The 12,975-nt window shown below is 42.1% G+C and overlaps 1 long non-coding RNA gene across 1 annotated transcript in view, besides 1 other annotated feature; it reads right to left on the bottom strand.

The window, feature by feature from the left end:
• The window catches only part of PPP1R12A-AS2 (PPP1R12A antisense RNA 2), an 89,875-nt gene that overhangs the window by 61,567 nt on the left and 15,333 nt on the right, over nucleotides 1–12,975 (bottom strand). Inside the window, exon 2 of the long non-coding RNA NR_187531.1 lies at nucleotides 2,705–2,789. This is a non-coding gene — a long non-coding RNA (PPP1R12A antisense RNA 2). The remainder of the gene's footprint in view (nucleotides 1–2,704; nucleotides 2,790–12,975) is intronic.
• Nucleotides 7,230–7,738: an enhancer, noted in NCBI's record as "H3K27ac-H3K4me1 hESC enhancer chr12:80104382-80104890 (GRCh37/hg19 assembly coordinates)". NCBI's record gives its function as "activates a minimal SCP1, AML or CMV promoter by ChIP-STARR-seq in naive H9 embryonic stem cells {active_cell/tissue: H9 hESC(naive)}" and the evidence as "EXISTENCE:reporter gene assay evidence [ECO:0000049][PMID:30033119]".

Here is a 12,975-nt window from a genome sequence, read left to right as displayed (position 1 = left end):
ACTTTATAATGAGATTCTAAGCCCCTGGCCTTGGCTGATTAAGCCAGGGATTGGACCACAAGAACCAAAGACAAACTCCCTACAGGCTTACTTCTCACAGTGTGGGACACAGACTGGCAGTGTCAGCATCACTGAGGTCTGTTAGAAATGCAGTATCTCAGACCTACTGAATCAGAATCTGCATTTTTAATGAGATCCCCAGGTGACTTGTGTATACGTTAAAGTTTGAGAAACACTGATCTATAGCATTGTTGTACAAGCTTGCAGTTATGAAATCAATTCAGCATGGCATAACTAGCTAAATGAATAGAGTAGAATGGGACAGGATACAACTAATTAAGAACAGAAATTATCAGAGTGTAAAACATAGTTTGGCTAAGTATTACCTTAAGAAAGTATAAATGGCTGGGCACGGTGGCTCATTCCAGTAATTCCAGCATTTTGGGAAGCCGAGGCAAGCGGATCACCTGAGGTCAGGAGGGTGAGACAAACCTGGCCAACATGGTGAAACCCCATCTCTACTAAAAACACAAAAATTAGCCAAGCACGGTGGCACGCACCTGTAGTCCCAGCTACTTGGGAGGCTGAGATAGGAGAATCGCTTGAATCTGGGAGTCAGAGGTTGCATTGAGCTAAGATCGTGCCACTGCACTCCAGATTGGGTGATGGAGCGAGACTCCAACTCAAAAAAAAAAAAAAAAAGTATATGCATATATGCATAAGATCACATGTAAAATATATTTATTGCTGCAGGTTGTGGTCAAAATACCTGATAAATGCTGATCCCCAGGATAGCCAGGAATCTGAGGTGAGAATTAACCCATGAAGGAAAGTGATTCTATATTGTGACAATTGAATCAAACAATATTTTCCTTCTGGATTTTTAATACAATATATACCAGGAGACAGGGAGTAGTGAACTAGGATGGAAAAGTGGAGAGAGAAACAGAGGAGCCGATAAGTCATGAGAATGGAAGATTACTGAATCCACTGTTATATTTTACACTAGGCTTTAGTTCCCGAGGCCTTTTCTTTCAATTGCTACCATGGTTTCTTTTCTTCCTTTCTCATATCCTTTCAATAAATCTCCATCACCATACAGACAGACCCTGAGTATAAAGCTCTCCCTGGCAACCTGAAAGAGCTTTGCATACTGGCTACTGCCATATATAATGATGTGAGAAACTAACCTCTGATACATCTAGAAATCCCCCCGAGACCCAGGAATCCACACTCTGCTTTTAGAACTGCTGCCTTACGCTGACTTTTAACATTAACACATCATATCTACTTACATCCTGGGTCTAATCTGTAGAATGAGTTGTTGGACTAGAATTCATTTATTAAATAACCATGGGAATCAAACAAGTAGGAAAAAATTTTTGAGGCTGCTGGGCGAAAAGCCCAGGAGATAATATAGAGCTTAAGAACCTACAGCACCATTAGGTGCTTGACCCTTGTGAAGGGTTCAAAATCATATTTAGGAAAAAAAAAAAGTAATGTGCTGGTCAGGAAAAATCTGTCTGAAATCTACTAGCCACCAATTTGTGAGCCCTGTGTTAGGTGATGTCTAATGTTGCTTCTAATGTTCTCTGATCCTAGGATTCCCTTTAATGAATAAGTGATTAAGTGAATGTTGATGACCAGCCACCATCAAAATACTGCATAATATAGAAAACTTATTTTCTTTCATCTTATTTCTTAATTTTGTGGAAATTCTAAAATATTTAAGATGACTCAGGGCAAGGCATGGTAGCTCACACCTGTATTCCTAGCACTTTGTAGGGCCCAGGTGGGCAGATTGCTTGATCACAGGAGTTAGAGACCAGCCTAGGCAACACAACAAAAACCTGTCTCTACAAAAAACGTGCAAAAAAAATTAGCTAGGCCGGGCGCGGTGGCTCGCGCCTGTAATCCCAGCACTTTGGGAGGCCGAGGCGGGCGGATCACGAGGTCAGGAGATCGAGACCATCCTGGCTAACACAGTGAAACCCCGTCTCTACTAAAAATGCAAAAAATTAGCCGGGCGTGGTGGTGGGCGCCTGTAGTCCCAGCTGCTCGGGAGGCTGAGGCAGGAGAATGGCGTGAACCCGGGAGGCGGAGCTTGCAGTGAGCCGAGATCGTGCCACTGCACTCCAGCCTGGGCGACAGAGCGAGACTCCGTTTCAAAAAAAAAAAAAAAAAAAACAAAAAAAATTAGCTAGGAGTGGTGGCATGCATCTGTAGTTCCAGCTACTCAGGAGGCAGAGGTGGGAGGATCACCTGACCTGGGAGGTTGAGGCTGCAGTGAGCTGTGATCCCACCACTGCACTTCAGCCTGGGTGACAAAGTGAGACCCTGTCTGTAAAAGAAAAAAAAGTGACTCAGAAGGTAAATATGAATATTTTCCTATTTCAAATAAAAATGTTGAGTTAAGTTTTATGAAACATTTCTTTCTAGTGCTATATCAATAGTTGAATCTACTAATTCTAAGCTCCACAGCTAGGTAGGTAGGTAAGTTAGAATTCCAAAGAGAAAGATATACTGAATTTATGTATCCATTAATTCATTTTATTCATTTAATATCATTTATTGTCTAGCAATTGATTTGAAGATGAATTATTTGCATTTCCAGGATTAAGTCATTTTATTTGCAATGGCTCACATCAAATGACTAGCTAAAAAGAGTTTAAAGAATTAAACCAAAGAGATTGTTTTGACAAACCTTTTCCAGCCTATTAAAATTTTCTTAGTTTTGTCCTATCACATGTAGAGTAGTACATAAGTTATTCGGCTCTTTATTCGCACCACTGCAACATAAAAGAAAAAACAAACAGACACTAAAACATTGCAAAGTCAGCAATTTGGGGGCTTAGAAATGTCCTCACCTCAACATATGTGCGTTAATAAATAACAGAGGGTTATAGTGCCTTTTGGGTGTTTTAAAAGGAAAAGAAAAAATAAAATAGCAGAGGACAGAGTAAATTTTCACCATGATAGTTAATAAAGTTTCAGTACAAAACCAGTTGTTAGCAATCAACAAACATGATATTCTTATAATAATATGATATTTAGAAACTACATTTATCATCTTTCTTTTGAGACAGAGTCTCACTTTGTTGCCGTGGCTGAAGTGCAGTGGTGTGATCTCAGCTCACTGCAACCTCCATCCCCCGGATTCAAGCGATTCTTGTGTCTCTGCCTCCTGAGTAGCTGGGATTACAGTTGCCCACCACCACACCCAGCTAATTTTTTTTGTATTTTTAGTAGAGACAGGGTTTCATTATGTTGGCCAGGCTGGTTTCAAACTCCTGACCTCAAGTGATCCGCTCACCTTGGCCTCCCAAAGTGCTAGGATAACAGACGTGAGCCACCGTACCTGGCCACATTTATCATCTTTTAAAAACGAATGCATTTGTCAGACAAAAGTCTTTCATTGTTCAAAATACATTGCAACATATCACTAATATAAAACCACACACAGTGCACTAATTACGTGACATTCACTCATTCAACAGATCTTTTTTTTTTTTTTTAACATTTGTTATATTTGAGGCACCGTGGAGGATCAAAATGAAAGCCTTTGCACAATCTCTGTTTTGTGCAATGTTTTTAGACAAGAACTCTTGAGTATTGACAGATTAGTCAAGTGGGGGCAAATTTTTGTATGTTTGAGGAAAAAGTCTCCAAGGCCAAATTTTGGCTAATTAAGGACTGATGAGTTGGTGTACTATCAGGTCACTTGGATCTCGTAGTGCTTTCCTATTCTTGTTCTCTGGGAATTTCATTATTCACCAGTACATCCATTCAGGAATGAGTAATTTCAAAGCAAGAAAGTATAATTCCTATCAATTAAGTTTCCTTTCCTGTAACCCTTGAGGAAGTACATTTCAGACTACCTTACGTGTGTAGAAATGTGAGGATACTGTAGTGTTAGGATGGCAAAAAAAAGTGAGATGAAGAGTAATTAGCAACTATGCTGCCAAGGTTTTTTATCCCCCTCACTTTCCCAAACATTCTTATGATAAATCCCCATCACCAGAAAATACCTATATATAAACCTTTTCATGTTGAAAGACTTTGGTCCTTGATAAGCACCCCACGTTTGACGACTTAAAAACTTTTCATTGGAGATTTCTCCCTCTCTCTCTTTCTCTGGACAGGGTCTCGCTCTGTTGCCTAAGCTGGAGTGCAGTGCATGATCACAGCTCACTGCAGTCTCAACTTCCTGGGCTCAAGCAATTCTCCCACCTCAGCCTCCTGAGTTGCTGGGACTACAAGTGCATGCCACCATGTCTGGCTATTTTTTTTTTTTTAAATTTCTAGTAGAGATGAGATCTTTCTATGTTGCCCAGGTGGGTCTTGAACTCCTGAGCTAAGCGATCCTCCCACCTCAGCCTCCCAAAGTGTTGGGATTACAGGCATGAGCTACAGCACCTGGCCACAGACTTTTGTTTCTAACTATAACAAAGAAGCTTGTAGCAGAGTAGCATTCCCATTAATATCAATAATAAGCAAAGGAGCTTCTTTATCACCATTGTTATTCAGCCAACACAATTAGATAACAGAAATAAATAAAATTGAAATTGGAAAAAGTAAAGCAAAATTGTCATTTGTTGATGCTATGATTATCTGGAAAACTAAAAAGAACCAAATGAAAAACTGTCAGAAACAATAAAATAATTTTTAAAAAGCTGAAAAAAAGACACGGCTGAACATGGTGGCCCATCCCTGCAATCCCAGCACCTTGGGAAGCCGAGGACAGCAGATCACTTGAGGCTAGGAGTTTGAGACCAGCCTGGCCAACATGGCAAAACCCCGTCTCTATTAAAAATACAAAAAGGCCAGGCGCAGTGGCTCACGCCTGTAATCCCACCACTTTGGGAGGCCGAGGCGGGCAGATCACGAGGTCAAGAGATCGAGACCATCCTGGCCAACATGGTGAAACCCTGTCTCTACTAAAAAGACAGAAATTAGCTTGAGCATGGTGGTGCAAGCCTGTAGTCCCAGCTACTCGGGAGGCTGAGGCAGGATAATCGCTGGAACCCAGGAGGCGAAGGTTGCAGTGAGCCAAGATCGTGCCACTGCACTCCAGCCTAGTGACAGAGTGAGACTCTGTTTCAAAATAAACAAATAGATAATAAAAATACAAAAATTAGCTGGCCACAGTGGCGCACACGCCTGTAATCCCAGCTACTTGGGAGGCTGAGGCAGTAGAATTGCTTGAACCAGGGAGGCGGAGGTTGCAGTGAGCCGAAATCACGCCATTGCACAGGCTGGTGACGAGTGAGACCCTGTCTCACAAAAAAAAAAAAAAAAAAAAAAGCTGAAAAAAATAAAATAGGAAATGTGAAAGATTCGTGTGAAGAAAATTAAAACACTACCTAAGGAAACACAAAAAAGATGTTTCAAAAGACCCATATTGTTCTCGTTCAGGAAATTTTAGCATGACAACCATGTCAATCTTCCTAAATCAATCTATAAATGTAGTGTAATCCCAATAAAAATACCAAATTATTTGGGAACCAGATAAACTGATTCTAAAGTTCAAACGGAAAACAAATAAGAAACGCCAGGAAAACTCTTTAAAAATAAGTAAAATGAGATGCATTTCTCTACCAGACAGTAAAATATATTTTATAAGCTAAAACATTGCAAAATGTGGTACTGATAATGTATAGAACAATGCCTGACACATTTAATACATATTTGTTGCATAACCGAGTAGTCATATCAATAGAGTTAAATAAAAAATCCAAATTGGACCAAAATGCTTATTTGAATTTGGCAGATGAAAAAAGTAGGACTTCAAAATTGCGGAGAAAAGATAAATTGTTCTATAAATAGGGTTGGGACAACTGGGTAGCAGTTGGAAAAAAAAGAATTGGAGCTGTATTATTCCATTCTCACACTGCTATAAAGATACTACCTGAAATTGGGTAATGTATAAACAAAAGAGGTTTAATTGACTTACAGTTCCGCATGGCTGGAGAGACCTCAGGAAACTTAAACTCATGGCAGAAGGTGAAGGGGAAACAGAGTACGTCTTACATGGAGACAGGAGACAGAGTGAGCAGGAAAAACTGCCAGTTTTAAAACCATCATATCGTTTCTGGAATTGGTGGGTTCTTGGTCTCACTGACTTCAAGAATGAAGCCGCGGACCCTAGCGGTAAGTGTTACAGTTCTTAAAGGCAGCGTGTCTGGAGTTTGCTCCTTATGCTGTTCGGATGTGTTCGGAGTTTCTTCCTTCTGGTGGGTTCGTGGTCTCTCTGGCTTCAAGAGTGAAGCTGTAGACCTTCGCAGTGAATGTTACAGCTCTTAAAGCAGCGCGTCTGGAGTTGTTCGTTCCTCCCGGTGGGTTCGTGGTCTGGCTGGCTTCAGGAGTGAAGCTGCAAACCCTCGCAGTGAGTATTACAGCTCATAAAGGCAGTGTGGACCCAAAGAGTAAGCAATAGCAAGGTGGATTGCAAACAGTGAAACAACAAAGCTACCACACGGTGGAAGGTGACCAGAGCGGGTTGCCACTGCTGGCTCGGGCAGCCTGCTTTTATTCCCTTATCTGGCCCCCACCCACATCCTGCTGATTGGCCCATTTTACAGAGAGCTGACTGGTGTGTTTTACAGAGAGCTGAGTGGTCCTTTTTGACAGGGTGCTGATTGGTGCGTTTACAATCCCTGAGCTAGACACAAAAGTTCTCCACCTCCCCACTAGATTAGCTAGATACAGAGTGCTGATTGGTGCATTTACAAACCCTGAGCTAGACACAGAGTACTGATTGGTGTATTCACAATCCCTTAGCCAGACATAAAGATTCTCCAAGTCCCCACCAGATCAGCTAGACGCAGAGCACTGATTGGTGCATTTACAAACCTTGAACTAGACACAGAGTGCCGCTTGGTGTATTAACAATCCCTTAACTAGACATAAAGGTTCTCCAAGTCCCCACTAGACTCAGGAGCCCAGCTGGCTTCACCCAGTGGGTCCCGCACCGGGAGCGCAGGTAGAGCTGCCTGCCAGTCCCGCGCGCCGTGCGCCCGGACTCCTCAGCCCTTGGGCGGTCAATGGGACAGGGCGCTGTGGAGCAGGGGGCGGCGCTCCTGGGGAGGCTCAGGCTGCGCAGGAGCCCAGGGCGTTGGGGGTCGGGGAAGACTCAGGCATGGCGGGCTGCAGGTCCTGAGCCCTGTCCCACAGGGAGGCAGCTAGGGCCAGCAAGAAATCGAGCGCAGGGTCGGTGGGCCGGCACTGCTGGGGGACCCGGCGCACCCTCCACAGCTGCTGGCCCGGGTGCTAAGCCCCTCACTGCCCAGGCCGGGAGGGCCGGCCAGCCGCTCCGAGTGCGGGCTGCCAAGCCCACGCCCACCCGGAACTCCAGGTGGCCCGCAAGCGCCATGCGCAGCCCCGGTTCCCGCCAGTGCCTCTCCCTCCACGCCTCCCCCCAAGCCGAGGGAGCGGGCTCCGGCCTCAGCCAGCCCAGAGGAGGGCTCTCTCGGTCCAGCGGCGGGCTGAAGGGCTCCTTAAGCGGGCTGAAGGGCTCCTTAAGCGCGGCCAGAGTGGGCTCCGAGGCCAAGGAGGCACCAAGAGTCAGCGAGGGCTGCAAGGGCAGCCAGCATGCTGTCGCCTCTCAATAGCTCATGAAAACTCCTTCATTATCAGGAGAATTGCATGGGGAAAACTGCCCCCATGATACAGTCACCTCCCACCAGGTCCTTCCCTCAACACATGGGGATTACAATTCAAGATGAGATTTGGGTGGGGACACAGAGCCAAACCATGTCAGGAGTCATGCCTCACACCTCATACAGAATGAATTTCAGATGAACTAAGCACATAAGTGTTAAAAACTGTGAAAGTACTAGAAGAAAACATTGCAGATTAAAAAAAAATTACGAAGCCATAAAAAGACTGTTTAATTGAACTACAAGACAATAAACGTTTTCTTCATGCATTGTAAACCTAGTTAAGAGAACTGACAAATTGGGTAAAATATTTACTACCCACATCTCAGACAAAGAGCTAAATTCCTTACTAAGTAGTTCCTACAAATCAAAAATGAAAAAAAAAAAAAAAAAGCAAACAAAAGCAATCCCCTAACACACACACACACACACACACACACACACGTGCATGCAAAAATTTGAACAATTTTTTTTAAAGAATATGAACAGAAAGCTTACAGAAAATAGAGCAATTTGGCAATATCTGTTAAAATTACAACTGCAGGCTGTGCGCGGTAGCTCACGCCTGTAATCCCAGCACTTTGGGAGGACAAGGTGGGTGGATCACCTGAGGTCAGGAGTTCAAGACCAGCCTGACCGACATGGTGAAACCCTGTCTCTACTAAAAATACAAAAATTAGCCTGGTGTGGTTGTGCATGCTGGTAGCCTCAGCTACTTGGGAGGCTGAGGCAGGAGAATTGCTTGAACCCAGGAGGTGGATGCTGCAGTAAGCCGAGATTGTGTCACTGCACTCAAGCCTGGGTGACAGAGCGAGACTGCCTCAAAAATCAATCAGTCAATCAATCTGCACAGACCCTTTGAAATGGCAATTCCACCTCTAGGATTTTAATCTACAAATATACTCTCAAATGTATCCGATGACTTGTATACAAATTTATCACTGGAACAGCAAAATATTAGAAACAATGTAAATGTTTATCAGAAGGAGGCTGATTATACAAATTGTGGTATAATCATAGAATGCTACTGGACCAATAAACAATAAAGTCTCTCGCTCGCTGTCTGCATCCTTTAGATCCTCACAGCCACTCTTCAACTTCTACTCTTCCAGCTTTATTTTTCTCCACAGCTCTTATCACAACCTGGCTTACTATATATATTTCATTGCTTATTCAGTTTTTGTCTGTTTTTCCTGCAACTTTTCTACTAGAATGTCAGTTCCATAAGACAGAGATTTAGCCTATTTTGTCCTCTGCTGTATCTTCACCACATGAGTGCCTGGCACATGGTAGGCATTGAGTAAATACTTGTCAAATAAATGAATAAAATAATGAATCAAAATGGAAAGATATTCAAAATCTATTTTAGAGTGAAGAATTCAAGATACATTAATATTCTATTCTCCATGTGAATAATTATATATGAAAAACTTACATACACACCTATGCACACACACATACACACATGCATACACGTATATGCTTGCCTATGTAGAGACTTTTTGGGAGGATGTGCAGGAAGCTGGTCCAGTGATTGTCTCAGGAAGCAGGAGAGCAGAACTGCGTGGCTAGCTATCGGGAATAGGATTTTTTCCACTTTGCCCTTATAGCTTTTGAATATTGTGCTACATACATGCATTATGCATTCAAAAACTTATTTTTTAAATTGCTGATTTAAAGAATGAACTGAGGAAAACTGAAGCTTCTGAAAGAGACAGAAAATTAATAGCCAGAGGTACAGGAGGCAAGTAAGGAGAGTTGAGTATTCCAGGGAGGTAGGAAAGGTCTCCTGCACCTCTGGCCCTGAAGAATTTAGACTCATCCTTATGCCCGTGTCTCCTCTAACCCATCTTTGTTCCCACTTCCGGCCTTCCAGGGCACCACCTTCCCCATTCCTTGTAGGCACTTTACATCTTTGTGGGCTTGCATGAATGGTTTCATCTGTTAGAAGCATTTCCCTATCTTGTCTATTTGAAAAAATCTATTTATTCTTGGTGAAGCCATCTCTTTTTTCATTCTGTGCTTCCCACAGTAATTTGTTCATATTTCTGTTTAGAACTGAATATCATTTTGTTTACAAGTCTTTTTTGTATAGATATTCTTTTATGATCTTGTTTTTATTTACATATGTGTTTACACACCTGCAAGTTCCTTGAAGTTGGAGCTATCATTCCTCTTTGTATGTCATTGCCTAGAACAGTAACTTGCATAGAGCAAGGCTGGCACACAGTAAGTATGCCCCCAAAATGTTTATTGAGTGAAGGACTGTAATTATTTTCTTCATGTGGTTTACATATTGACTTTAAAATTAGGAGCAATTTTCAATGGAAGATAAAGGGACTAGACCTCTTTTGAGTGGCCTTCAAAAATGTTAGTCATTAGTACACTAAAGTTATAGTAGAACACCCACCAATAAAATTGCCTTGGAAGAACTGAACTTTGAAAAGTTGAAAAAATGGATTTTACAGAGATATGCAAATTCACCTAAAAGAGATCTGACCAATAAAACATGACCATAACCAGACTAAAATAATTAGCATATACAAAGAATGAATGTGTTCATCGTAGCAGCGTTGGTTGGCCTCCTTAGCAAACAGTTGGATGGCAAAGGTCCTGGGGAGAGCAATTCTGCTCTATGCACTTTGGCAGGGCTTTCCTTATTTATGGAGATGGATGCCTTAGGCTCTCTTAGCTGAGTCCAGTAAACACTGGAATCCTCTAATCAACCCCTCTTGTTCATTCTTCATATTTACCAGGTAAACTCCAGTTATGCTTTCATTCCCATGTAGGTCTGCCTTCTTGGAGAACACATGCTGATCGTAACAACTTTAACAGTCCTGTGTTTCTGACCTTCATGTTTTTCATTATAGATCAATGAATTATTTGGCTCTGATATATCAGGCAAACTGTCAACATTAATGTAACTGTGTCCCTGAGCCATCAATAATAGGCTCTTCAAATGGATAAAATCAAAAGTTCTGAAGCTGCAAGACTGAAGGTCAAACACCGGCTATGGTACATATACCAAGGAATACTTCCCCACCACAAACTGCCCTCACATCCCAAGTACAGCCCTAGGAGACAGTGAGCTTGTTTCTGGGGCCGCCTCAGGACAGCCATCCTGATTGTATGCCATTTGACAAATATTTATACATATAGCACCTGCTGTACTCCAGACACTGTGATGCAAAAAGAGGGAGGAGAAAAAAAAAGAGAGAGAAAGACTCTTTAAGGAGCTCAAATTATGTGGTTTGTCTAGATGAGTGATTGTCTTTTGCTGATTATGAAGCCCTGAAATTTTGAAGAAATCAAAGCAAATCTTTTAGAGAAAAATGTACAGAAACTGTGGTGTTTGTATTCTGTGTATTTTATTGCCCAGAAAATTGATTCCTTTTATGTATAATCTAAAGATGGGCTCTGGAATCACACAAATGTGCTGAAATATTTGGCTTTATCATGTATTAGCTGTGTAACACAGGACAAGCTACTTAATCTCTCTATGTCTCACTGCTCTGATCAGTCCAAGAAAAGTAATACTAATGCTCCTCTCATAGGACTGTTACAGGGTTAAACATGGATATGGTTTGGATGTTTGTCCTCTCTAAATATCATGTTGAAACGTGATTCCCAATGTTGGAGGTGGAGACTGGTGGGAGGGGATTGGATCTTGGGGTAGGATCCCTCATGAATGGCTTAGCATCTTTGCCTGGTCATAGGTGAGTTCTTGCTCAGTTAAATCATGTGAGATCCAGTTAAGAGTCTGAGACCTCCCCCTTCTCTCTCTTACTTCCACTCTCACCATGTGACATGCTGTATCCCCGTCACCTTCTGCCATGAGTAAGAGCGCCCTGAGGCCCCCACCAGAAACCCAGCATATGCTGGCACCATGCTTCCTCTACAGCTTGCAAAACCATGAGCCAATGAAACATTTTTTCTTTATAAATTACCCAACCTCAGGTATTTCTTTATAGCAATGTAAGAATGAACTAATACACTATATATGCAGTGATTAGCATAGTGTCCTGCTTGTCGTAATCAAAAAATTACTGCTATAAATTATGTTATGCAAAATATTATCTTCAGTAATTTAAATTCAAGTGTGTCAATAAAAGGCAACCTTTACTTTGCTCAATAGTGAATTCCAGTGAAAAAATCCTTCTGATTTGAATCTATGTTTTAGATTAAAATCTAGATGTTACATCATCTATGTCATCCAGTTGTTTTTTTGTTTGCATGGCAAGAAGTACTGAACACATTGACTCATATAGGTCAAAACTCCAAGACTGAATTGAATTCATATCTCATCATAACCATTGTAAATCAATGGAGCCATCTTTGGTGAGGTACTCATTAAACATGAATCATCTGAGCACAAGTAACACTCAAAAGAATTCTGTGGTGTTTCAGGTGTTGAAGACATCTGCTTGCAGAGAAATGAATAAGACTTTCTCAATGGGCTTCAGACAATAGAAAGTCCTTCCTCCATGCTGGGAAGTTTATAACCCATCTCCATTAGGTAGGAACTAAAGAAACGATGGCTGAGCTATAAGAGTTGGTTCTTTTAGCAGCATACATAATACTCTACGATCTTGAATCAAAAAATTTATCTGAGTCTTGTGACCAAAAACATCTATGATGTAACAAAACCATGAAAGAACTCCTAAACCGTTCTGATCAGTTACCTGCTTTCCCTCTGCCCCCATGAAGTTCAGTTACATACTTTACCATTTGTTCCTTGGAAAGTCAGTAAACTATGTGCAATAGAGAATAATTTTCTACTGTGATCTTTTTTCTAGACAAAATTTCTTGAAAAGGCTGGGGTCAGGACTGGGGTCTGATAAAGTTGATGACTTTCACAGCAGTAGACAACACTTCTTTCAGAATTGCTTGCACAGCCCAATTCCTGTTGATGGTGAGAGCAACAAGTCACAATGTACGGAGTGTCTTCAGCAAAGCAGCCAAACCAGGTGTGTTACTGAGACTCTCAGGTGCTCAATCTGTGCCCAGAAAACCAAAACATTCCGTCTACAACATCTTCCTTGACAAAGACATGTTTTCACCATTTTGAAAATGGCAGTGGCGGCTGGGCGGAGTGGCTCACGCCTGTAATCCCAACACTTTGGGAGGCCAAGGCAGGTGGATCACGAGGTCAGGAGTTTGAGACCAACCTGGCAAACATGGCAAAACCCCGCCTCTACTAAAAATATAAAAATTAGCCAGGCATGGTGGCAGGTGCCTGTAATCCCAGCTATTCTGGAGGCTGAGGCAGGAGAATCGCTTGAACCCAGGAGGCCGAGGTTGCAGTGAGCCAAGATCG

Source organism: Homo sapiens, chromosome 12, assembly GCF_000001405.40.
Source record: "Homo sapiens chromosome 12, GRCh38.p14 Primary Assembly".
Taxonomy (NCBI): Eukaryota; Metazoa; Chordata; class Mammalia; order Primates; family Hominidae; genus Homo; species Homo sapiens.
Note: the sequence above shows the minus strand (reverse complement) of the source record. Positions and strands in the feature narration are given on the sequence as shown.